This window comes from Homo sapiens, chromosome 8, assembly GCF_000001405.40.
Source record: "Homo sapiens chromosome 8, GRCh38.p14 Primary Assembly".
NCBI lineage: Eukaryota > Metazoa > Chordata > Mammalia > Primates > Hominidae > Homo > Homo sapiens.
The window spans coordinates 20504948-20530432 of NC_000008.11; the positions used below are offsets into that span (position 1 = coordinate 20504948).

The 25485-nt window shown below is 43.1% G+C and overlaps 5 annotated features.

Moving 5' to 3' along the window:
* Positions 2046-2785: an enhancer, noted in NCBI's record as "H3K27ac hESC enhancer chr8:20364504-20365243 (GRCh37/hg19 assembly coordinates)". NCBI's record gives its function as "activates a minimal SCP1, AML or CMV promoter by ChIP-STARR-seq in primed H9 embryonic stem cells {active_cell/tissue: H9 hESC(primed)}" and the evidence as "EXISTENCE:reporter gene assay evidence [ECO:0000049][PMID:30033119]".
* Positions 2786-3524: an enhancer, noted in NCBI's record as "OCT4-NANOG-H3K27ac hESC enhancer chr8:20365244-20365982 (GRCh37/hg19 assembly coordinates)". NCBI's record gives its function as "activates a minimal SCP1, AML or CMV promoter by ChIP-STARR-seq in naive and primed H9 embryonic stem cells {active_cell/tissue: H9 hESC(naive and primed)}" and the evidence as "EXISTENCE:reporter gene assay evidence [ECO:0000049][PMID:30033119]".
* Positions 3525-4264: an enhancer, noted in NCBI's record as "OCT4-NANOG-H3K27ac hESC enhancer chr8:20365983-20366722 (GRCh37/hg19 assembly coordinates)". NCBI's record gives its function as "activates a minimal SCP1, AML or CMV promoter by ChIP-STARR-seq in naive and primed H9 embryonic stem cells {active_cell/tissue: H9 hESC(naive and primed)}" and the evidence as "EXISTENCE:reporter gene assay evidence [ECO:0000049][PMID:30033119]".
* Positions 4657-4868: a silencer, noted in NCBI's record as "fragment chr8:20367115-20367326 (GRCh37/hg19 assembly coordinates)". NCBI's record gives its function as "represses an EF-1alpha promoter that drives an FKBP-Casp9 reporter gene in an ReSE screen in HepG2 liver carcinoma cells {active_cell/tissue: HepG2}" and the evidence as "EXISTENCE:reporter gene assay evidence [ECO:0000049][PMID:32094911]".
* Positions 19537-19706: an enhancer, noted in NCBI's record as "experimental_102632 CRE fragment used in MPRA reporter constructs". NCBI's record gives its function as "activates a minimal promoter by MPRAs in K562 erythroleukemia cells, with activity observed for both the introgressed and non-introgressed 8:20382080 variant alleles {active_cell/tissue: K562}" and the evidence as "EXISTENCE:reporter gene assay evidence [ECO:0000049][PMID:34662402]".

A 25485-nucleotide genomic window follows, 5' to 3' on the forward strand; every position in this document is an offset into this window, starting at 1 on the left:
TATATAATATATTATATAATATATATATAGTATATAATATATATATACTATATATATATAATATATAGTATATAATATATATAATATATATATAATATACTATATAATATATTATATAACATATAATATATAATATATAATATATACTATATACTATATACTATATAATATACAATATATACTATATAATATATAATATATATAATATATACTATATAATATATACTATACTATATATAATATATAATAAATATATAATATATAATATATATAATATATACTATATAATATACTATATATACTATATAATATATAATATACAATATATATATAATATACAATATATATATAATATATACTATATAATATATACTATATAATATATAATATACAATATATAATATATAATATATATAACATATATAATATAATGTATAATATATACTATATATAATATAATGTATAATATATACTATATATAATATATAATATATATAATATAATATATAATATATAATATATATAACATATAATATATATAATATAATATATATAATATATATATAATTTTTTTGCCCCTCATATATTCTTTCTGGACTATCATTTACACTGTAATTTCACCTAAAATATACTTTTGAGATTATTGGCTTCTCATTATACCAAGAGCTTCCTTTTATTTTTATGCCAGCATGACATTCTAGTTTATGTATTATAATTTATTAAATCCCCATTGATGGATATTTATTTTATTCCCAATCTTTTTCCACCAGTAAAAAATGCTGCAGTGAATAATCATACACATATATCATTTTGCATGTGTGTGAGACTAGAACTGGTTTTCTGGGTCAAAGATTTTGTGCATTTGTAAAGTTGATAGATATCGCCAAATCGCCTTCTGTAGAGGTTGTGATTTTCTCTCTTCCTAGCATTGTCTGAGAGTAGTTGTTTCCCTATAGCTTTTCTATCCCAATTTTTAATGAAACTTCTGGATTTTTACCAATCTTATAGGTGAAAATTGTTTCCCAGTGTAACTTAAATAAATAGTTCTCATATGATGAAGGAGGTTGAGCCATTATTCTCATGTTTAAGAGCGATTACATTTTCTTTGCTGGGAGATGTCTCCTGTGAACAGTATCCTCTTTTCTGTTGTAATGTTTATATATCTCTTAAAATTATGTAAAGTACTTCGATTTTCCAGCTTGTCATTTGTCTTTTAACTTTGTATATTGTGCTTTTTCCCATGCAGATGTTTTTGATTTTTATGTAGTTAAATTTTAAATCTGCCTAACGTGATTTTTTAATTCCCTAAATTTATGTAGAATTTTTATTCCAGTGCAGTTTGGGCCCTTGGCTCCTTTCCACATCCCTCTTAACTGTGAATGGAATAAAAGCAAGCAGTGAAATGATTTTTCTGCTCTTCCATGACTCTTGTTACAGAGGCAGAGGTCAGCCCCATCCACTTCTTTCCATACATTTTGCTTAATACTAGGTGGTTAATAAATATTAAATGCATGAATGGGAGAGTGGATAAAAGCATGAAGGAAATGCTGAGTTGCTGAATACAGGCCCTGACAATGATGATATGTGAGTCCACAAAGCACAGAGACTAGGTGTTTTTGGATTCAACATGTTTATTCATTGGTCAGTGAGTTAACAATGCAGTATACAACATCATTCACTTTGTGAGTGGCCATTAAATGTTAATAGTTACTGTGCAACAGGTAGAATAAAGGAAGGGAAAAAAAGGGGTAAATATTCAAGACAAAACCAACAAAAATTCAGAACCTTGGACAGAACCAGGCCAGAGCTATTCTAAGGCATACATAAGAAGTCCTAGTGCCACCTAAACAAACCCTTTAGTTTGGGGGGCACGAGGACTTTCCCTTTCAGCATTTCTCATCTGTCCCCATGTCTAGGGGCATAGTGCCATTTTTCTCTCTAGAACTGGGCACTAGATTTTCAGCCACTACCCTATCATCAGCACCACTCCCACCTACTCGGCAATTGTTATTGCTGGCCTGTTTTTTGCAGATAGCTGTCCTCTTGCTCCAGACCAATTTTTAGGACTGACCGTTTTATAATAGAACATACTTTGTCCTATCCTGGAAAGATGGATGCTACTCTTGGCCACTTAACACTGTGGGGCATGGCCAGATAACGAAATCATGGTAAAATGGGAATGACTGGTACTAACTTACATATGTTACTCTTTAAACCCAAAGATTAATTCTCATATAGGAAGGTTTTATATAATGAGAAAGCTGAATATGGATACATTTTAAGCCTTAGGAATTTGGTTCGCAAGTTCCCGCAGTATTTGGTTCTAGTAATTAGCATTCTTTTAAAAACATTTTTTAGAGACAGAGTCTGGCTGTGTTGCCATAGCTTGAATTCCTGGGCTCAACCCATCCTCCTGCCTCAGCTTCCAAAGTAGCTGGGACTGCAGGTGCAGGCTGTAAACTGCATTCTTAAGTTTGTTAGTTGTTGTAGATAAACAAATTGTGCATGTGTCACAGGCTTTTGAACCAGAGCAACTCCATCTTGAATAGGGGCTGGGAAAATAAGGCCGATACCTACTGAGTTGCATTCCCAGGAGGTTAGGCATTCTAAGTCACAGGATGAGATACATCCTTGCTGATAAAACAGGTTGCGGTAAAGAAGCCGGCCAAAAGCCACCAAAACCAAGATGTTGACAAAAGTTAACTCTAGTCGTCCTCACTGCTCATTATACACTAATTATAATACATTAGGATGCTAAAAGACACTCCCACCAGTGCCATGACAGTTTACAAATGCGATGCCAACAACAGGAAGTTACCCTATATGGTCTAAAAAGGGGAGGAACCCTCAGTTCCGGGAATTGCCCACCCCTTTTCCAGAAAACTCATGAATAATCCACCCCTTGTTTAGCATGTAAACAAGAAATAACCTTAAAAATAAGTTACCAGCAGCCCTCGGACTGCTTTGCCTGTGGAGTAGCCATTCTTCTGTTCATTTACTTAATAAACTTGCTTTCACTTTATGGATTTGCCTTGAATTCTTTCTTGCGTGAGACCCAAGAACCCTTTCTTGGGGTCTGGATCGAGACCCCTTTCCAGCAGCACATGATGCTTTAAACTGAAGATAAAGTGAAAAAAGAAGTCCTGTTATAATAATGTTCCTTTATAATGTTAGTGTCAGGAGGAGTTTGGGGGTGGGGAGCATGCCAGGAGTCAGGGCTATCAAACTTCTGAAAAGATCTCTCTGATGCTCTGATAGCATCCGGGAGCCTGTGATACCTTAATTCTTCTGCAGGGCACATAGTAAATAGCTCACAAGGCTTCCTCGTGCTGTTTTATCTAATCTAATTCCTTTTCGGCCCCCTTGGCCACATAAGCACTTATTTTTCTCCATTCCTGCCCCTCTGGCTGGGAAGTAAGGTTTGACTCTGGCTTGCTGACATTCTTCAAAGCAAATCATCCTCAATAGCCAGGTTAGACTTGTGTATTTAAGCTGCTAAATGTGCATTGTCATGGAAGCTGTTGCCTTGATTTTGCATGACAGTATGCTGTTTCCTCCTGTCTGAAGCCTGACACCGGTGGGGGGATGTCTGAGGTCTTCACTACAAAGTAAAGAGACTTCCCGGAAGGAGCTTCTGATCTGGATGCTGACAAATAAGTAGATATGCTTTTATATCATTTTTTAAAGGTGATTCCGAGAGGGTGTGGAAGTGGGAGAATGTCAGGGTGCCACACACAGGCTGTCAGAAATGCTAAGGCAAAGTTTTTCATAATGCCTGAATACTTCAAATGATTTAACCATTGGAAGAGAGACAGATGATTATAGAATCTTAAAATAAAGCCAGAGAAGTAGGGAGCTGGAGAGGGCCCTGAGGGTGGGCAGGAGAAATGATCATCTATTGAATGCCTGTCATAGGCCACACCCCATGCGAGTTGCCTGACATAGATGCCTCTTGGTATCCATGGGGGATTCGTTCTAGGAGCCTCTAATATACCAAAATCTGAGCATACTCAAGCCCTGCAGTTGCCCTGAGGAATCTGGAGATACTAAAAGTCATCCCTCCCTATATATGGGTTTCACATCCCAGGAATACTGTATTTTTGATTTCTGTTTGGTTGAAATAAATCTGCTTGTAAGTGGATCCATGCAGTTCAAACCCATGTTGTTCAGAAGCCAACTATATATATATATATACGTGTGTGTGTGTGTGTGTATACGTATGTGTGTGTATATATATGTATGTGCATATATATACACACACACACACACACACAACTAATTCCCACAGGCTTATGGCTTAAGCATTTTTAACATAATCACGGTTTAGGAAACTGAGGTTCGAAAAGATGGAATAATCTTCTCAAAGTCTTGATACAAATAAAAGTACAATAAGTCAGTCTGTCTCCAAGACTCATCTCACTAAGCTGTCTCCACCTTTCCCACCCATTACATTCTCCTGCTTTGAAGGTGAGCAGACTTAGACGCAGGAAGATGAAATGCCTTAACTCATTTCTCAATCCAGAGCAGCAGGAAGCGTAAGAGGAGGAGAGGAGAACCCTTTCATCTTCATCCTCTCATCCTTCATGTTTTTAATGATGTGTTTTGATCACCACAGAGATTTTGTTGTTAACATAGTTTGAATCCCCTTCATGGCAGGTTCATTTAAGTGATGCGCATTTAATGAGTTGATAGAGTTGTTGCAGGTTGGAGCTCAGATGCTCACATAAAGGAGGGAGGGCAGACTCCCTCTAGTAACTCATTACTCAACATGCCAGCCAATACGCAGGAGCCTTGACAGGGACCCACGTGTGCCTGCCTCTGTGTGTATGTTTGTGTGTGTGTGTGTGTGTGTGTGTGTGTGTGTGGATGCACATGCATGTGTGTATGTTCAGAGATCAAGCAGGAGTGATTTTTTTTTGTCTCTCAGTTGATTCCTGGCAGCTAGACCACTCTGTACGTCCTAGGGAGCTTAAGGAAGTTAGTGGTCTATAAATCATCCACTAAGCCCCCGAATGAGACTCTCTGTTGGAAATGGTAACAGTAACTCCGTCAAGAGTAGACTGGGGTTCTGGCCTCATCATTATTGTCATAACATCTTCTGAGTCAAGTCACGCTCTTTGCACTTGCTGTCTGAAGCTGGCATTTGGAGATAAGCTTTTGTGATGTGTCATCAAGCCAGGGACTTCTTATGGAGGAAGGGAGTTGTGTTTTCCGGCATGTCTAGCATGATAGAAGCAAGGAAAACAGAACCAAACTGCTTTGGTGGAGTCCAGATCCCTTTTATGTGGTCCAGAGGATAAGGTCTGTGTGGTCCAGCTTGGACTGAAATTGCCCAGAGGCAATGAAAGGCTCCACAGATAGGGGTAAGTTTTAGTAAAATCAGTAGTGATGATTGTGTGTGAGAAATGGCTCATAAGTGGGAAACCACTTTATAATCCTGGCTGTGGCTGGGCCAGTAATTTATCAAGTGACCTTATGTTAATCATTTCACTTGTCTGGACCTCCACTTTCTCATCTGTGAAGTGGAAATAATGGTATCTGATCTATCTATTTCATAAGATTGCATCAAGGGTCAAAAGAGCTCACATATGTAAAACTGCTTTAAGGTTTTATGGCCCTATATGACTACAAGGTATTGTGAGGGGCAGTGTTGCATATCCCCCATTCAACCAGCAAAGTCCTGTTGATTCTACATTCCTTACAATTCTCCCATTGTAGGAGGTAGATTTATGAGGTGGCCGCTAAGATTCTTTCCCCTTGGTGCACAAGCTCTGTGTGATCTTCTCCCCTTGAGAGTGGGTGGGAAATGTGCCTATGATGAGTGATGTCGTTTGGCTGTGTCCCCACCCAAATCTCACCTTGAATTGTAGCTCCCATAATTCCCACATATTGTGGGAGACACCCAGTGGGAAGTAATTGAATCATGCGGGCGGGTCTTTCCCATGCTGTTCTCATGACAGTGAATAAGTCTCATGATATCTGATGGTTTTATAAAGGGGAGTTCCCCTACACAAATTTGTCTTGCCTGCTGCCACCTAAGATGTCCCTTTGCTCTCTCTTCGTCTTCTGCCATGATTGTGAGGCCTCCCCAGCTATGTGGAGCTGTGAGTACATTAAACCTCTTTCCTTTATAAATTACCCAGTCTCAGGTATGTCTTTATTAGCAGTGTGAGGATAGACTAATGAAATGAGATAGTCATTACTGTTATTATGTTAGCTTATTTACCACTCCGCCATAACAGCCTGGAAGGGGATCTCTCCTATTGGCCACCATGAGTCCTACTGCAAGGAAATGAATTCTGCCAACAACCAAGTGAGCACAGAAGAAGAATTTGTGCCTCAGATGAGACCCCAAGCCTAACTGACACCTTGATTTCAGCCTTGTGATATGCTGAGCAGAGAACCCAGCTAAGTTCTGTCCAGACTTCTGACTTACAGACCTGTGGGACATTAAATAGATGTTGCATGAAGCTGCTAATATTGTGGTCATTTATTATGCAGCAATAGAAAAGTAATACACCCATTTCTTCCTTTTATTTCACTTTTGCTACTATCAAACACATTCCAAAAAGTAACTTATTTTACCTAGACTATTGCCATAGTCTTCCTGGAACCAGTATTTTCTTCTCTCCCCTCCTCTCTGGTAATCTATTTCATACTGAGACATGTGACTTCTCTATATTATATATATCCTTGATTCTATTGGTGAATTTTTTTTTTTTAATTTTCACATTTCTAAAATAGGGCTGTGTCTCATGATGGATGTGCACATTTAGTATAGTGCTTGTTTTCTTCCCCCAAAAACTCTTATTAAATTGATGATGCATTTTACTAATTGATGGTGTCTAAAAAATAGAGGAAATCTGGTAGCTTAGTCTTAAACACATCTATTCTAGCACTAAATAAAATCTAGTGAGAGCCTTCCTTCAGATGCCTTACCAGAGGAGAAAAGAGGGTCCCCTTCTCAAGACCTTCTTGAACGGCATCAACAGTAAAAGACACTGATGACCAGGAGTTTCCCTCGGAAGAAGCTGGTGTAGGCGACATCAGCCAACAATATACTGGAACTCAACATCTTTGCAGTTATTTTCTTCTTTCTTATTGCTCCAGGTTGTTGGCACTCCAGATTCTTCTGTCACCCCTCTTTCTCTTTGGCACCAATGACCAGCATTCCTGGTACAGACTATTTCCCGATTCCCAAACAATGCCACAGATGGTGACACATTTCTTGTGATTTTCCTATTTATCATGTCTCTGCTTTAGCAGAGAGACCATCTGGGATCTCCTCCCAGGGATCCCAGGAGATTCCATTCATTGCTTGACTTAAGCCTCAATTGGATTTATTTTAGACAGAGGAGAGAGCTCTGGCACAGGAGCAGAAGGCTCAGATATCACCCATCAGCTGTATGACCTTGGTGGTATCACTCCTTCCTCCCCCAGCCTCAGTTTTCTCATCTGTACAATGAGGTGTTCTCTAAGATTATTGTTATATTCTCTGACTAGCCCCAGAGCATCTTTTGCCTCATTTCAAATCTCCCCCAAAGTCATAGCAGAGAGTGGGTACTACAGTGAAGTCAGTCCATGCCACCAAGGGCTCCTGGGCTCCCTTGGGCATGCCAACAAGAGAGTCGGGGGAGGCCCAGGTCCTCTGCTCATCCCATTGTCCTTAGCAGGTAATAGAGCCATCACCCAGACTTCCTACAGCATGTTTTCCTGCGCAACCAGACTAACTGACATCCTTCTGTCTCCAAGTTCGTTCCTGCAGATGTTTCCAATCCTCATCACTTTATCATAATTGTTATGATAAGCATTTCTGCCAAAATGGTAGTAAAAACTCAATTTGCCTGAGCAAAATTAGCAAGAGAAAGTGTTCACGGCTAGTGCAACCTGGTTATTAAGCCATAGCAGGAATTGGCTGCAGCTGTGAAGTAAGATATAATTAAAATCTGAGGCCCTTCACCACGTATCTGGTTTGTGCATTTGCAATGTTGTAGATACATGAATTACTGGGGCTGACCAGCTCAAGCTGTCCACTGGGAACCTGTCCAGAGAATTATATCTATTTGAATGTTAGAGAGAGAGAGAGAGAGAGAGAGAGAGAGAGAGAGAGAGAGAGAGATGCAAGTATACACATTCAGGACAGTGCAACAATAACTTGGGTAGACACATAAGGCGTGGAGGTGGAGGAGACAGACCCCACCCTGACAATCATGGGCTCTAGTTTAGATGTGCCATCAACTGTGTGACCTTGGACCAGTCACTTACCTTTCAGATTCTTAGCATCCTCTTTGGTGATATATAAGAAAGTAAAGATTACTCATAAGACGCTTGGTTCTAAAATTCCTGGCTGCTATTCTATTTGTAAAAGATAGAAAGAACGGCCAGGCACAGTGGCTCATGCCTGTAATCCCAGCACTTTGGAAAGCCAAGGCAGGTGTATTGCTTGAGGCCAGGAGTTCGAGACCAGCCTGGCCAACATGGTGAAACCCTGTCTCTACTAAAAGTACAAAAGCAGGCCATGGTGGTGCATGTCTGTAATCTCAGCTACTCGGGAGGCTGAGGCAGGAGAATTGCTTGAACCCGGGAGGTGGAGGCTGCAGTGAGCTGAGATTGCGCCATTGCATTCCAGCATGGGAGACAAGAGCAAAACTCCATCTAAAAAAAATAAAAAATAAAAAATAAATAAAAAGAACAGGCCCAACATGAATAACTCAGAGCCGTAAGAGTAGAGGACATCACAGATTCAAGAGGGAAAGACAAGACTGATGGAAATGAAGCCAGGAAACGCTGAGCAGTAGGCTTAGTTATTCTGATCAGTCTTTTATTTTTCAATTTATATGGACACTAGTATCTCATTAACACTTTTTTCCCCTACGCAGTCATGATTTTATTAAACTCATATGCAGTACTTTTACCTGCTGAAGCCCTTGGCTGGGCTATTAATGATAGCGCTTTTCTTGTTATAAAAGTCAAAGGATGTTTTGGGACTGGCCTCTGGCCCCCCTACTGTACTGCCACCCCTAGACACAGTTGTATCTTCCAGTCTTTCGCGTTCATTTCAAGTGAAGGGTGTGTGGGTACAGTGAGTATTATGGGTCTCAGCGCCTCCATAGACATCTGATACTTTGATTTCACTTACATACCTTAGGGCTACTGGAGAAAGCTGATGTTCCTGGAATGTTTCTTATGCCTTACTCATTTATTTGGGCTTCAAAAGATGCTGGTGGTCCTGACTTGGATCCCCCAGAGGCCCTGGTTGGTAGCTTGCAGATGAGGTTCTGCTTTGGAGCTGTGGCAGAGGACAGGAATACTGTGGTTGGCAGGGCATCTAGAATCCAAACATCTATCTGCTATCTTGGTTAACCTGCTGGGGGAAGCTGTCCTTCAAAACGGAGGATTGGGCTGAGGAAATGTAGGCTCATTTCATCTTAAAAAGGCTACTGTCTCCCACTACTCTCGGGCACTTTCAGCAGTTTGGCCACATGTTCGGTAATGTGTCTCCTAAAATCTCAGAGATGGTCCATCCTCTAACTGCCCCTTGTCTCCTGTGTCCTCCCCACAGGAACCATGTTAAGAGTACTCCCGGCAGGGTGCGGTAATCCAGGCAATACAGCCTCATGCCTCTAATCCCAGCACTTTGGGAGGCTGAGGCGGGAGGATCACATGAGGCCAGGAGATCGAGACCAGCCTGGCCAATACGGTGAAATCCCGTATCTACTAGAAATACAAAAATTAGCCAGGCGTGGTGGTACGCATTTGTAATCCCAGTTACTTGGGAGGCTGAGGCACCAGAATCGTTTGAATCCAGGAGGCGGAGGTGCCAGTTAGCTGAGATCGCACGAGTACACTCCAGCCTGGGTGACAGAATGAGATGCTGTCACAAAAGAATAAAATAAAATAAAAGAACACCCCTGTGTTGCTGTGGTTTTCTCTTCACTGCTACACAAACTGTGTGGAGGTGGGTGAGCTTCTTGTTCTCTAGGGGTCTTGGTTTTTCTCATGACTGTGAGAACAGGGCTAGAGAGAATCTCTAGTTTTCTTGTAGGAAAAGTTATGGCCTGTCATGCTTCCTAGACCGAAGTAGACAGCTGGGATTGGACTCTAGCAGAGTTGGCATAAGGATTTTTAGACCATGTTTTCTCTTGCAGTCATTGGACCCAGGTTTTCAGGGATTGAAGTTAACTCCTGACTCAGGCCCTCAAGATAAAAGCAGGTGAATCTGAAATGGGACAACAAAGAAAAAGAGTGAAGGGTCCCTAAAATATGTCAAATATCAAGGGTCTGCCCCTGTGCTAGGCATTGTCACCAATATTGCCTCATTTGGTAGCACACAGTGCTTAGGAGCAAAAGCTCTGTGTTCTGATTGCCTGGGTTCAAATCCTGCCTGTAATACTAAGTATCCATATGGTTTTGGGAAAATTATGTGAGAATTTCATACCTCAGTCTCCCGATCGATCTGTAAAATGGGGTAAGAACACCCCGCCACGGAGTTATTGTCAGAAATTAAATATGTACATGCAAAAAACACAGAAAAGAAATGAACATGTAACAAGTGCTAAATACATGTTAGCTATTATTACTACTATTCAGTCTTAATCACACACACACCTTTTTACGAATATGGAAACAGGTTCAGAGAGGTCACGTAGCCTACCTGACTCACCTAGCCAGTTAGTGACAGAGTTGAGTTTCAAACCCAAGTTTATCTGGCATCAAGCTCATATTGATTTTCTTCCCGCTATACCTTTAGAGTCGATGAGATTCTGGAAGAATTATTTTCCTATTCCGTTTTGACTTTCATAGCATCACCATGAAAACATATTAGAGAAATCTGGGACTCACGGTTCATTCCCCAGACATAGACTCTCATTCAGGAAGGGGGCTGTCATGCTGAAATTTCAATGCCTCCAATGCGGAATTAGGCTGAGCCCCGACAGAAGTCCCAGCTGGGCAGAAACTGAGCCACTCACTTCAATCGGCCCTTTCCGCTGCCAGCGTGGGAGAGGAAGAGAGTGTGCTTCTGTTACAGTCAGATGTTCATCATGGAAATAGATAATTTACCTTCCTTGAGGCTTGGTTTCTGCATATAGGAACTAGATCCCGGTCCACTTGCAGGGTTGCGGTCATCGTGGCCTGATAGTTCCCCATTCGAACTTCCTGGCACGTAGTCGGGGAGACCTCAGCCAGTGTTCATTTCCTTTGCACCCCTTTCTGTCTCTTATGCTAGTTGATCTGATAAATTTTCCTAACAATCTGAAACTGTGTATCTACAATCCTCCAATCATTTCTGTGTTTTTACATATAAAAGTAAAAGCTTATTGAGGGTTGTAATTGCTTGGGGATTTCCCTTCTTGCAGTCTCTTTGGGTAACCAAAGCCTCTCTGGCTTCTCGCAATGTTTCTGATGTTAACATTTTAATAACACACTCAGAGTGTTTTTGTTTTATGAATTCTAATATAGATGGGAGTTCTCCCCCAGAGAGGTTTTTAAAGCAGGTGTTTTTAAGTGAATAACTCAATATCTACATGCATATTTCTGTGACTAAAAGCCATTTTTTCTTCCAGACGTCAAATTGCTCTAGTTTTCAGGCAGCTCTGGGGTGGTCACCTGCCTTGTTTAAAGATTCTTTTACCTTTCTCTGAGGAGCTTACTGCACTCTGAAAGCCTTGTAGTGTGTGTGTGTGTGTGTGTGTGTGTGTGTGTGTGTGTGTGTATGTGTGCTGTACAATCAGAAAAGTTTGTCCACAGCTTAAGGTGGACTTCCTCTCCCACATTAAGTGGAAAAAAAAATAGCTGTAACATCTATGAACATATCTCCAAAAAGAAGGCCTGACTAGGTAACAATTCATCTACCTCTTCTGTTGGACTTATTTGCTCCCTTCTTATAGAGAATTGCAGGATCTGCCTGATCCGGAGGAACCTTCTGATCTCATTCCACACACCCTGGACATGAGCTTTTGATCTCAAAGCTTACAGGACAGTGCACAATTGCTGTGCCTAGAGAGTCTACTGCAGAGGGGGAGGAAAGAGCGATGATCACTGGTGTGGAAGTGTGGTCCTAAGAGAGCTTCTGAAACTCTTGTATCTAGGGGACTCTCCTGGGAGAACTTAATAGGGATTTCTCCAAAGTTACGCTCACAAAAGCTTGGGCCATACCACTGCTCCAGCATTCTCAGGGTGTCAGGATACCTACTTATAGATTAGGGAGCTCGAAGTCTTGCGATTAGAAGTCCAAGACACAGAGAGGGGAACAACACATACTGGGGCCTGTCATGGGAGCAGGGGGAGGGAGGGCATAATAATAAATAGCTAATGCATGCGGGGCTTAATACCTAGGTGATGGGTTGATAAGTGCAGCAAACCTCCATGGCACAGGTTTACCTATGTAACAAACCTACATTTCCTGTACATGTATCCTGGAACTTAAAATAAAATAAAGTAAAATAAAAAGTCCAGTTATTGCCTTTTTATAACCAGCATTTCCTAAAGTTATTTCAACAAGGAGCTCGTTTCTTGTTGCACATGTGGTAGCGTGCCGGGGAAAGCTGTTCTGCAGGACATTAGTTGTGAAGTGCTGATAAGGAATAGACAGATCCCCTGAAAGGAGCATGGATACTCGATTTATCCATTTTGGAGCTGAAGGGAGGGGCCCTGCCATCTCTGGTCTTCGAGATCATAGAGCCTGAGAGAATAGAACATCAAGCTGGAAAGGACTCGAGGCTCAGTCAGCTCAACCTTCCCACCTTGACCTTGCTCAGGGAGGGCAAGAAGCTCTGCTCAAGCTCACGGATTAAGCCGTAGCAGCGTGACAGTGACTGGAACCTGGGTATTGCTACCCATGCGCGTGGGGCTGCAAGCTACCACCTTAACCGCAAAGGCCAAGAAACGTGGAGCGGAGAAAAGGAGGGAGATGAAACATGCAGAAGGAAAGATAGGGAAGAGACAAAGGAAGAATTTTGGATGCGGATTCTTAGACTAGATTACCGGGGGTGGCGGAGGGCTGGCAAAGCCTAGAAGTGCACAAAGGATGTTGAACAAGCTTCAGACGAGAGTTAAAAAAAAGTATCAGCGTAGAAGGAATTGTGTCTGCCTAGGAAAAGGGTGTGGCAAGAGGAGGAGCGGCACTTGCGGAGAGCTCGGAACACTCCGCCGAGAATGACTTTTGGAGCCATTTGGCAGAGATTAGGGAAAAGAATAAGTGGACACGCTCCAGTTATGAAGAAAAGACATATGGGGATTTAGATTATGAACAGACGGAAGAGGAAGAATGAGGAATCATTCTTTGGAGATAAAGACTCTCCGGAACAGAAGCGATGCTGAAATGCGTAAGTCGACAGTAATGACGGATCCCTTTCCTTTTATGGCACTTTACAGTTTATAAAGCACTTCCACCTGTGTGGTCTCACATTCTTCTGGCAGCACATCCAGGTTCTTACATAATGACAGCTGGGAGAAGAACTGGTGAGAAAGCTCCCTGTGAAAAGAAGGAGGCAGGATAGGAGGGAGGGAAAGAATGATCACTTGGATTCATCCATTTATGAAAATAAATGGAGGGGCAGTGTGCACAGCACAGCAGTTAGGCGTGAAGAGTCTACAGGCAACTCTCTGGGTTCAAATCCCTGCTCTATCACTTAATAGCCGTGTGACCTTGGGCACATTACTTAACCTCTCTGTACCTTGGTTTCCTTAGGTGCAAAGTGGGGGTAATCACAGTACCAATTTCTAGGGGTTTTATGATGACTTATCTTTCTTCTGCTTATAGGTGTCTGACAGAGCTAGGAAACCACTTGGGGAAAAAGTGGGAACACCCTTATTAGAAAGTAAATTTCTCTATGGTATTATAGATACTATGTATTTTTAAAATAACATTTGTCGAGGCAAAAGATTTGGTGTTTAATCCATTCAGGGGAGGTGCTTTGGAGTTGGTAATGGAAATGAATACGTGTGCAAAATCCAACACAGGAGGCAATTTAACCATAGACATGTCAACTGGAGGACTGAAAGTGCCTTCGTGGTATTTCGAGACCTGGAAAACGTTCTGATTTTTTGGTCTCTGTGTAAAATGTGGACGTGTGTGGGCCCCGCTGCCAGGACCTACCGAGGGGCTTCATCTGCCTGCCCACACTGCACAATGCCAACTGTCTCTAGAATATTACTAATGTCTGCATGGGCCCAGTGAGACCTCTCTCACCTGCACCCCTGCAGACACAGCCTCCAGGTCAAACCTTAGTATGGTGGCTGGAGTTCACAACCAGACAACAGCTTCCTCTGCTATTCCCTGCCTTCCTCCATTCCACACACTGTGGCTCAGGCCTCCCAAAGCCCAAAGATGGAGTCAGAGCACCCCCCGAGCAGGTGTCAACCACTCTTCTTCACTGCAAAATTCCCGTATGAGCTTCCGCATGGTGTGTGGTCTGAGCATAACTCAGTGAGCTTCTGCATGGTGTGTGGTCTGAGCATAACTCAGTGCTTGGCACACGGATAGGCCTGTTCATGGCAGCTTTTTGATAATTTTGGGTTGTGGAGTCTTCTGTCCCAAAGGGCTGGCTTAGAAACTGAGAACCAAGGAGGGTGGTGAGTGTGCCCAGGGGTACCCCCTAGAGTTCACCCTGAGACCTGGAGTGCCCGGCAACATCTAGAAAGGGATCACTCTCCTCCACTTCCAGCAGGCGCAGTTTCGGGAGAGGCAGGCGAACAGGACGTCTGGTGACAATACGTCCTCAGAGCTCCTTGAGAAGGTCTAAGTACAGTAATTTGTTGTAATGACTCAAATTTAAAACAATAACCCAGAGGCATAATAGCCTGGGCCAAGAATACCTCCTGCATGTGATGGGCCGTTAATGGGAAATGAACGGTTTGATTTGGTGGCAGAGAATTTTCAGATGGCTTTCACTCTGGATGTGTAGCGTGCGGTGTAGAGAGTGAAGTTTCCTATCGGGGTTAATTTGGACCACTTCCTCTCTGCCTACTGAGAGCCATTCTTCTGATGGAGGCCCCTTTACTGCGCCACTCTCCCAGCAACTTGAAGCAAATCTCTGAGGCCTCACTCCTGTGTTCCTTCTCTCTCATTTTTTCCCTCCCTCTTCCCTCTCCACCGCCATCTCAGCGAAGCTGCTACTTCAGAGCCACTCTTCTTAGTGACAGCCAGGGGAGTAAATCTATTTTAGCTGTAGGGCATGTGTCAGCCAGGTGGAGAGGTGACGAGACAGTGTGGAAATCTGCCCAGACCACGGGAGACCTGGCGGCCATCCCCAAAGCTCCCATGGGACACAGAATAGGCAGATCCAGCAGGCAGTGACTGTGGTAAGGTCTCCCCGCTGAACAGCAGAAGGGCTGCTACTGGAACCCAGCTCCACTCTCCTTCCCCTCTCTCTGGAGGACTTCCTACCTCTGACAGCATTGACTTAAGAGCCTGGCAACCATCTCTCAGGAAGGCCTGGGTTTAGAGGGCCTCATGTTTCAAAAACAGCATAGAATCTTAAAAGTCACTGAGCCCAACTGCTCACCCAGGGAAATGGTTCTCTTTCTTTCCTTTTTAGGCCTCACTCCTCCTTCCTGGTATTGCCTTCCAGGTACCCACTGTGGACCCACTCAGGCAGCATCACCAGGCCTCCATGTGCCAGCATCAGCCTGTGCTTCCCCATCAACACGGCCATCCTCACAGATCCCTTCACTCTGCAAATGCTCTTAGGGGACTTCCCAAGAAATTAATCTCTAAGGGTAGAATCCTACATTATCATTACGACAGGCCAAAAGGAACACACACACACAGACACACAGAGTGACACACACATATGCACACACATATACAAAGACATACATAGATATATACACTGGAGAAAGATACAGATGCACACACATACATATGCAGAAACATACACAGACACACACATACCACCTGCACACAGATATAGAGATACACAGACACACACACCAACACCTGCACACAGATACAGACATACAGAGACACACATAGGGACACACACAGACACACACCAATAATTGCACACAGATATAGACATACCTAGACACACATAGAGACACACACAGGCACACACACATACACACCTACACACAGACACAGACATACATAGACACACATAGAGACATACACAGACACACACCAACAATTGCACACAGATATAGACATACATAGACACACATAGAGACACACACAGGCACACACACATACACACCTACACACAGACACAGACGTACATAGACACACATAGAGACATACACAGACACACACCAACAATTGCACACAGATATAGACATACATAGACACACATAGAGACACACACAGGCACACACACATACACACCTACACACAGACACAGACATACATAGACACACATAGAGACATACACCGACACACACACCTGCACACAGATACAGACATACACAGGCACACATAGGGACATACACAGACACACACACCAACACATACACACAGATCCAGGCATATACAGAACACACACAGAGACATACACAGACACGTACCCCAACACCTGCACACAGATACAGACATACAGAGACACACATAGAGACACACACAGACACACACATACACCAACACCTGCACACAGATACAGACATACACAAACATAGAGGCATACACATACACACCACTTATACAGACATACACAGACACACATAGAGACATACACAGACACACACAGACACACCCAAATACCCACACACTGACACACACAGGGAGACAGACACAGTTTTTTGTGGGAGACTTTTACAACTCAGCACTAAGAACGCTGGTTTCATGATTCCTTGAAAGAAAATAATTTCTTTGTGGAGAGTCAACATATTCAGTCCAATACAGCAAATGGCCCCTGTAATGGGTTGAACCATGTATTCCAAAAAGCCATATTCAAGTCCTAACCTTGGTACCAGTGAATGTTGTTACCTTATTTGAAAATAGGTTCTTTGCAGATATAATAAGGCAAAGATGAGGTCATACTGGATTAGGGGGTGATATGGTTTGACTGTGTCCCCACCCATATCTCATCTCAAATTGTAATCTGCTTAATCCACAAGTGTTGAGGGAGGGACCTGGTGGGAGGTGATTGGATCATGGGAGTGGTTTCCCCCATGCTGTTCTCGTGACAGTGAGGGAGTTCTCACAAGAGCTGATGGTTTTATAAATGGCAGTTTCCCATGGGCTTTTCTCTCTCACCTGCTGCCTTGTGAAGAAGGTGCCTGATTCTCCTTCTGCCATGATTGTAAGTTTCCTGAGGCTTCCCCAGTCATGTGGAACTGTGAGTTAATGAAACCTCTTTCCTTTATAAATTACCTATTCTCAGGCGTGTCTTTATAGCATGTGGACCCTAACCCAGTGACTGGTGTCCTTATAAGAAGGGGAGAGGAGGGACACATGCACACACACACACAGTGAAGTATGCTGCATGATGAAGGCTGAGATGGCAGTGCTGTCAAGGGATGCCAAGGCAGCCACCAGAGGCAGGAAGAGGCAAGCAGAATTCTCCCCCAGAGCCTTTAGCGCAAGATGGCCCTGATGACATCTTGATTCCAGACTGTGTCTTCCAGAACAGTGAGAAAATAGATTTGTGTTGTTTTAAGTCACTAGGTTTGTGGCCATTTGTTAAAGCAGGTGCGGGAAACGAATGTGATCCCTAAATGCTCACTGAGTGCCAGGCTGGTGCTCTTCCAGAGGCAAGACCTAGCAGGGGATGAAGCTTGCACAGCCCTGGCCTCAGGGAGCTCCCCACGCTCTCTTCAGAGGGCTCTGGAGCGCTCAGCCCTGATGGAGGTTTGCCCTCATTCCCTCCCAGCAGCATCCACATCAGCTCCACTTCCCTTTCATGCAGCTCTACTGTGGACTGGGCATCCTCCACCCATCCAGCATGGGGCTGAGAGCCAGTGGAAGGTGGTCCCGTCCCCTCCAGACAATGACTTCTCTAGGAGTGTGGGAAAGTATTTGGCTTTGGTGTTGAATAGGCCCCAGTTTTAAATCCTCACTCCATCACTTAGCAGTTAAAACTTCCATTTCCTCATGTGTACAAAGGGAATACTTGGATGTTGACAGGAAATTGAGAGGCAGATTCCAGAGACAGACAGATGGACCTAGGTCCTCTCATCTCCCTTTCTACTGACCACTTGCAAACAGTGTGACCTTGAGCAAATTGCTTACCTTCCTAGGTCTCAATTTCCTCATCAATAAAATAGGAATTTGGATGGCATTGGTCCCATATCAGGGCTGTGAGTATGGACTGTCATACCTGTAAGATGCTTACATGAATTCCTGGAAAATAGAAGGTGCTTGATAAAGAGTCGCTGTTATTATCATTTTACTAGTAAGGAAACCGAGTCCCAGAGAGGTGTTAGAGGCTGCGCTGGTCGTGATATCATTCTCAGGCTGATGGAGTCTCTGAATAGCACTGGATTGCTCATTTGAGAAGTATTCATCAAGAGGCTGTACTTCATGCCATTAAAAGTCCCAACCTGAAATCAGACAGCCCTAAATGCCATCTCAAAACTTATTAATTACAAGCTATGTGACCTTGAGCTTGTTAGTTAAACTTTGTGGGCCTCAGTTTTTTCACCTATGCAGTAGAGATATCAACCTCATTGGGTTGTGAAAGGGGTGACATTAGGATAAATGTTAATACTTAACCACACATTGTAAGCGTTCATGAATGTTTGTGGCTATTTGTATTTGTTAGGATTAACTTCAGCTGTATGTAACTAAATAATAGTGGCTTTAAAAGCCCCCAGATTCATTTTTCTCTGTCAAAAGAGTACGGAGACAGGCAGTCCAAGAATAATAAGACTGAGTCACAAAGTCACCAGGGACCCAGGCTCTACCTGTGTTTCTGCTCTGACATCCTCAGTATGTGGCTTCTATGCTCAAGGCTATAGCGTGACCCAGTGCTGCTGCTGGAGATGCAGCTGTCCTGTCCATTATCTGAACAGCCCAAGGGAGGAGGAGGTGTGTGTGGGGATGCGGGAAACACTCTCAGTTGAGCTGGCTCTCTTTCTTTTTCTGCATCTTTATTGAGGTACAGGTGACACCCGTCAGCTCCATTTAAGGGTCCATCCCTCAAGTCAGCTCTTTGCTTCAATCTCATTGGCTGGGACCTCATCATGTGGTCACATCTGTCTGCAAAGGAGGCTGGGAAATAGAGTCTTATGGCTGCCGGTAGTCAAATTCAGGCTCCATGACTAAATATAAAGGGTAAATGGACATCAGGAAGGCAAATACCAGCCTCTGCTAGATTGTTGTTATTGTTTTTATAGTTGTTATTCTCATATGCCAGGAACCTATCCTTTAGGAATTTTCTATTTTTAATGCAATGTTATAAATATTGTGAGAGAGGTGCATAGTAAGGGATGTGGAGCGCTTGGTGGGGAAGGATGAACTTGATCTGAGGCATCAGGGAAAGCTTCACAGAAGTGATGTTCAAGGTGAGCATGATGTTTAAGTGATTTGCTAGGATTACACAAAGGGCATGGAATTCCTAGCAAAAGGCACGCCATACATAGAGTCTTGTTGTTTCATGAGCCTGGTGCTTGGCTGCTTGGAATTTGGCTTGTTGGAAATTGTGCTACTGACGGACAGGACAAACTTCCAGGGGTTATCCTGGCACATCTCTGATGCACATAGTCTCCAGGGCAGGTGGTGAGGGGTGATGAACCCTGCTATCCATGAAGGTTCCCTGATTCTCAATTCCGATTTCACCAGACAGCCATCTATTTGTTAAATTAAAACCAGCCGGTTATTGAAAGAAACATATTTATTGAGAATTAACTGCCATGTGCAAAACGGGTATTTACTACCTACTTGTCAAACATCAGTGAATTTGTGTTTAATAGTCATTTTTTTCAATTAACTGACAAAAATGCATCCCGTTAATTCTAAATTAAATGCATATTTGCAGAACTCTAATTCACAACATCATCAAATCATGTCTTCCCAGCCAGTTTCTGATAGTTTTGTGTTGATGAAAGAATCTCAGTTGTTGTCCTTAGAGACAAATATTTTTTGTATGGATAAGCAGTTGTAACCTGGATTAGCAGACAAGAGTCTCTTTTTTCTATTCACCTCTTCCCTGTTTTCTTCCCTTCACTCCTAAATCCTTCATGTACTACAGGCACCTGGAGGGTGCCTCTAGCTGGAATGATTTTGGATGATCTAAGTTGATGGTTTAAACTTTACCTCTGTCTTTAACCTCCCAGTGATAGAAGTTCTTGGAAAACTTACCAAGCAGTAGATCTCCTTTCCCTAAGGTGCAGGACAAGATCACAAGGCTAGGAGTCAAACAATCTGGGAGGTTTTGACTTTTCTTCTTCTTTTTTTTTTTTTTTTTTTTGAGGCTGAATCTCGCTACAGGCATGCACCACCATGCCCAGCTAATTTTTTTTTAGGGACTGGATCTTGGCTATGTTGCCCAGGCTAGTCTCGAACTCCTGGCCTCAAGCAGTCTTCCTACCTTGGCTTTCCCAAGTGGCTGGGATAATAGGTGTGGACCACTATGCCAGGCTAATTCTGAATTTTGTTATGTGACCTTGGATAAGCCCTTTTCTTCCTTAAAGCATTTGTATCAGAATGAAGCTAAGCAGGTTTCTTCACTGCAGCATTTTTTTTTTTTTTGAGACGGAGTCTTGCTCTGTTGCCCAGGCTGGAGTGCAGTGGCACGATCTCAGCTCACTCACTGTGTCATTTTTAAAGAGAAATTTCTACGTTAATGTGCAAGAGAACCTCCAGTTGGGAAATGGGTATAGTTTTTCTAAAGCTTCTTTGACCACAGAACATTTTTTGTTACTGGATCATCTGGTGGATTGGTGATATGAGAAATACGTTTTGATAAAGGGTAGGAAGGATGATTTCTAGGGTCATCTGGCTCTAGCATTTTAGGATTTTGTTTCCTAGTCCAGAAACTGGAGCCAGCTTCCAAAGGATGACTTGGCAATACAGGCCTCTCTGCCCACCAGACTCTCCTACTTCTGCCCCCAACTTCTGGCCAGATTCGAGGAGATGCGAAACATTGCCTGGCATCCTCAGAAGCCCTGCCCTTTGGAAATCTGCCAGACAAGAATAGGAATGGAGTGATCTCTGGAGCCTGCTCCCTCCCTGCTGCATCCAGCTGCACTTAGCATTCAGCTCCTGGCCTTCCCCAGCGCAGCAATTACATGCTCAGCATCCACCTCAGAAATATGTAAGTGGTAACAAATGCCCTGAGGGTTCATTATCATCCAGCAGTGCAGACAGTACTTGCGTGGGGACATGGGGCACCTTACAGAAGGCAGTGATTTCTCTCCTCGCTGGCTGAGCCATGTGACTGCACATATGCTGAAATTGCAATGAGAGGGGCTGCAGAGCCCACTCTCCTTGGCACAACATTGCTGTGGCTGCTAGTATGGCTGCCTTTGCACAAAGCGACTACTGCACACCCTCCAGACAACTCAGCATCAGTGGGGACTCCCCACCACCGCCATAGCTGGTAGAGCAGTCTCTACCTAGCCAAAGAGGAGACTTCACTGACAATCCGTAATCAAACAGGGCAAAGCTCCTAGAAGCCTCAGAAAATGCATGCCCCCAGGAGTCCTCACAGAGGTTTGCTGATACCCTGGCTGTCCCTTCCCAGTCCAGGATCTTTTAGGTCATTAAAATAGTGGGTCTAATGTCTCAGGATGCTTTTACATTCTTAGAAATTATTGAGAATCCAAAATACTCTGCTATGTGCTGATTATTATTATTATCATTATTTTATTTTTTGAGACAGGGTCTTGCTCTGTTGCCCAGGCTGGACTGCACTGATACAATCATGGCTCACTGCAGCCTCCATTCCCTGGGCTCAAGCAGTCATCCAACCTCAGCCTCCTGAGTAGCTGGGACCACAGTCATATGACACTATGAGCTGCTAATTTTTAATTTTTTGTGGAGATGGGGTCTCACTATGTTGCTCGGGCTGGTCTTAAGCTCCTGGGCTCAAAGTGATCCTCCCATCTTGGCATTTGAAACTATTGGGATTACATGAACTATCCATGCCTGGTCGATATGCTGGTCATATTAATTGGCATTTGTTAAAGTAGACATTATAACTGAGAAACCAAAAAAATTTATTAATTCATTTCAAAATAAGACAAATATATGCCTTGTGAGTTAGTATAAATAGAACACTTTTTTCTTCCGTAAAAGAACTATATTTTCCAAAGCAAACAACACATGTGTCAAGAAGAGTGGCTTTGTTTTACACTTTTGCAAATCTTTGTAATGTCTGGCTTAGTAGAAGACAGCTAGATTTTGTTATTTCCTTCCTAAGTCATCTGTCACGATATGTTGTTTTGGTTGAAGTATATGAAGATGATCCAGCCTCATACAGGTATATATCTGAGAAAGGGAAGACCTCTCAGGCCCTCCTGAACAGGTCTTGCGGATGCCCAAGGGTCCCCAGCCACACTTTGAGAACCACTGATCTAGTGTATACCTTGTCGGGAGATGATGTGGTGGGGTGGTATTGCATTTAGGTGGTCTATACAGCAGAGAAGCAGCCACTTCTCAGATCACATGTGCTTCTTTTGCCTGGGCTATTGCTCTAGCCTCCTAGATTGTCTTCTGAACTCTATTTTTCTTCCTTAAAATTTTTTTCCTTTTGGAGACAGGTTCTCACATTGTTTCTCAGGCTGGAGTGTAGTGGCACAATCATAGCTCATTACAGCCTCAATCTCTTTGGCTCAAGCAATCCTCCTGCCTCAGCCTCCTGAGTGGCTGGGACTACATGTGTGCACCATTGTGCTTGGCTAATTTTTAAAAATTGTTTTAGAGACAGGATCTTGCTATGTTGCCCAGGCTGGTCTCGAACTCCTGGCCTCAAGGGATACTCCCATCTGAGCCTCCCAAAGTACTGGGATTATAGGCATGAGCTGTTGTGCCCAGGTCCTATTTGTATCCCTTTATAAGCATCCTCCACACAAAATCCAGAGTGAGCTTTTCAGAGATAAGTTGAATTTTATCACTCCTTGGCCCACAAGCTCCGGATGGTTCCCATCACACTTAGACTGAGGTCCCATCTTATAGGCCTGTGTGCCCTGGTCCTTGCCTCAGCCTCTTACCTTGTTTCTCAGTTCTCTCTCCCTTGCTGGCTTTGCTTTAGCCATTCTGGCCCTTTCTATCTCTGTGAACATATGAGGATCAGTCCCGATTTGGGGCTCTTGTCCAATCTGTCCCCCTCTCTGGCTACTCTTCCCTTGGACATTGGCATGGCTGGCTTATTCTTGCATTTAGATTTCAGCTTAAGTGTCATCAACATGGATTCACACTTATTACCCTCTTTTGTTTTCCTTATAGCCTTTGTCACTATCTGCAATTGTCTTCATTATTTTGTTTACTTTTTAATGATATCTCTCCATGTGAGGAAGTAAGTTCTATTGGAGCAAGAACTTTATCTTATTTAATACTGTATTTTCAATACAGTATTAAATGTTTGTACAGCATCTGGCATGTAGTCGATGAGCAGTGAATATATTTGAATGCACGAATGAAAAAATAACTAAGAAAAAATATTTTACTGTAAATCAGTTTTGGATTATGATGTTGTCATTTACTAACTCTGTGAACTTGGGGAAGTTTCTTTTTATGATACTTTTCTTATAAGTAAAACACTGATTACAATGATCTATTGTACAGGGTTGCTGTGAGCTTAGATAAGATAACAAATGTAAAGCACTTGTCACATAAAAATCATTCTGTAATTGGCCCTGTCTTTCCTTCCTCTTCCTAACCTAGCTTGTCAGTAACATTTCTAGCTCCAGAAATGATCATATCCTTCTTTTTTTTCTGAGGTTCCACCCTTCCTAGACCCTTCTTCTAGTGGATAGTTGAGTGGAAGCTATGTCTCTTGACACCTAGACAAGTGCTCTCACTATCTGCCTGTTTCTGGACACAGTAAAACTCATAGCCCTGCTGGAAGCACTCGGTTGTGGGTCTACAAACTGTGGCTCCTTGAACACCTGATGAGAATTAACTGGGATATTTGCAAAAGTGCTGGCTGCTGGCTTTTGGCCTCCCTGGAAATCTATTGAATTAAATGATTCAGAGGACAGGATCTAGAAAATGAATTTTCCTGGAGATCCTGGTGCATGCTAAAATGGGGAGAAAACTGGTATGAGAAATGAGCAGAGGGCACAAAAAGATTTTCTTTTATTCTTCCCCATCTGTTCACAGCTTTTTAAAGCCTTCTCAAATATTTATGCAGTAGCCTGACTTGTTCTCCCAGTTGGGCCCCTGAAGACACTGGCTCTCTGACCAGCTCTACCCCAGGGAGGAAGCTACTTCAGGGGCCCAGGACAGGGTGGAAGCATCCATGAGTGCTGCTCACACCCCTATCTTGGGCTTTCTTTCCCAAGACAGAGCGGGTACAGCAGGGTGCTTGAACAATCCATAGCAGCAGGCACAGTGTGGAATCTCGGGACAGTGCATGAAAAAGCTATTTGAAAAACAAGCACAGCCGCTCTTGCCAAATTCTCGGGATCCACTAGAAAAAAAGAATAGTCCTTTCCCATCATTCCATAAATCATTCCACTGAAAGCCATCAAAAATGCATCCTGAAAAGACATTTTCACTAGCAGCTCAGCTAGAAGACATACATCCTGCCCCACTCAGTTTTTCTCTCCTGATAACCAAAAACAAAGTTCCAGGAACAGAGGGATAAGCTTTCTTGGAGAAAGCTGTCATTCTCCATTTTTGAGCTTTTTGCCCTGGATTCTAAATACAGCCACACCTGGCTTTCCCCAGGGGTAGATGGTTTGATCTGAGAGGCAAACATTCTGTTGAAACATGGCTTTTATTGACAGCAGTTAGTGCTGCCACAGCCCTGTGAAGGTGGAAAGAATTGCTGGAGAGCCAGATGGGACTGGAGTTGAATCCAGGCCTCTACTCATTAGCCTTGAGATCTTGGACAAATCACTTAATATCTCTGAGCTTCAGCTGCTTGAAACAAATCATTAAAAAAAATAGACTCACAGCATAGTGACAGGACATTTGAAGTTCTCGCACATGCCCAATACCTGGCAATAGCAGTTGCTCAAGTAATACTATTTTCATATTGTTGGCCAATAGTAGAGTCTCTCATGTTGCTTAAAGAGTAGTAGGAAGTAGAAAAATGATGTGTATTCCTCTCCCTGGTGTAGGAAGCAGTAGAACTGGTTTTTGACTTAGCCTTGTCTTAGAACCATGAAGGTGTGACCTCGGTGATGCTGCTCTCCCTCTCTGAGCCTCAGTCTCTTCTTCCAGAAAGTGAAGGAACTGCAGTAGGTAATCTTGAAAGTTCTTCATTCTAACTTCAGACTTTAGGATTTCAACACTGATAGCCCAGACCTAGCTGATAGCCCAGACCTGGTTCTCCTCCTGGAAGTCTCTGGCCCTGCTGGCTCTGCAAATATTTTCCAGGGAGATCAGTGGGCTCCTCTGTGAAACGGAGGCATCGACATCCTTGCTGATTTGCTTGGGGT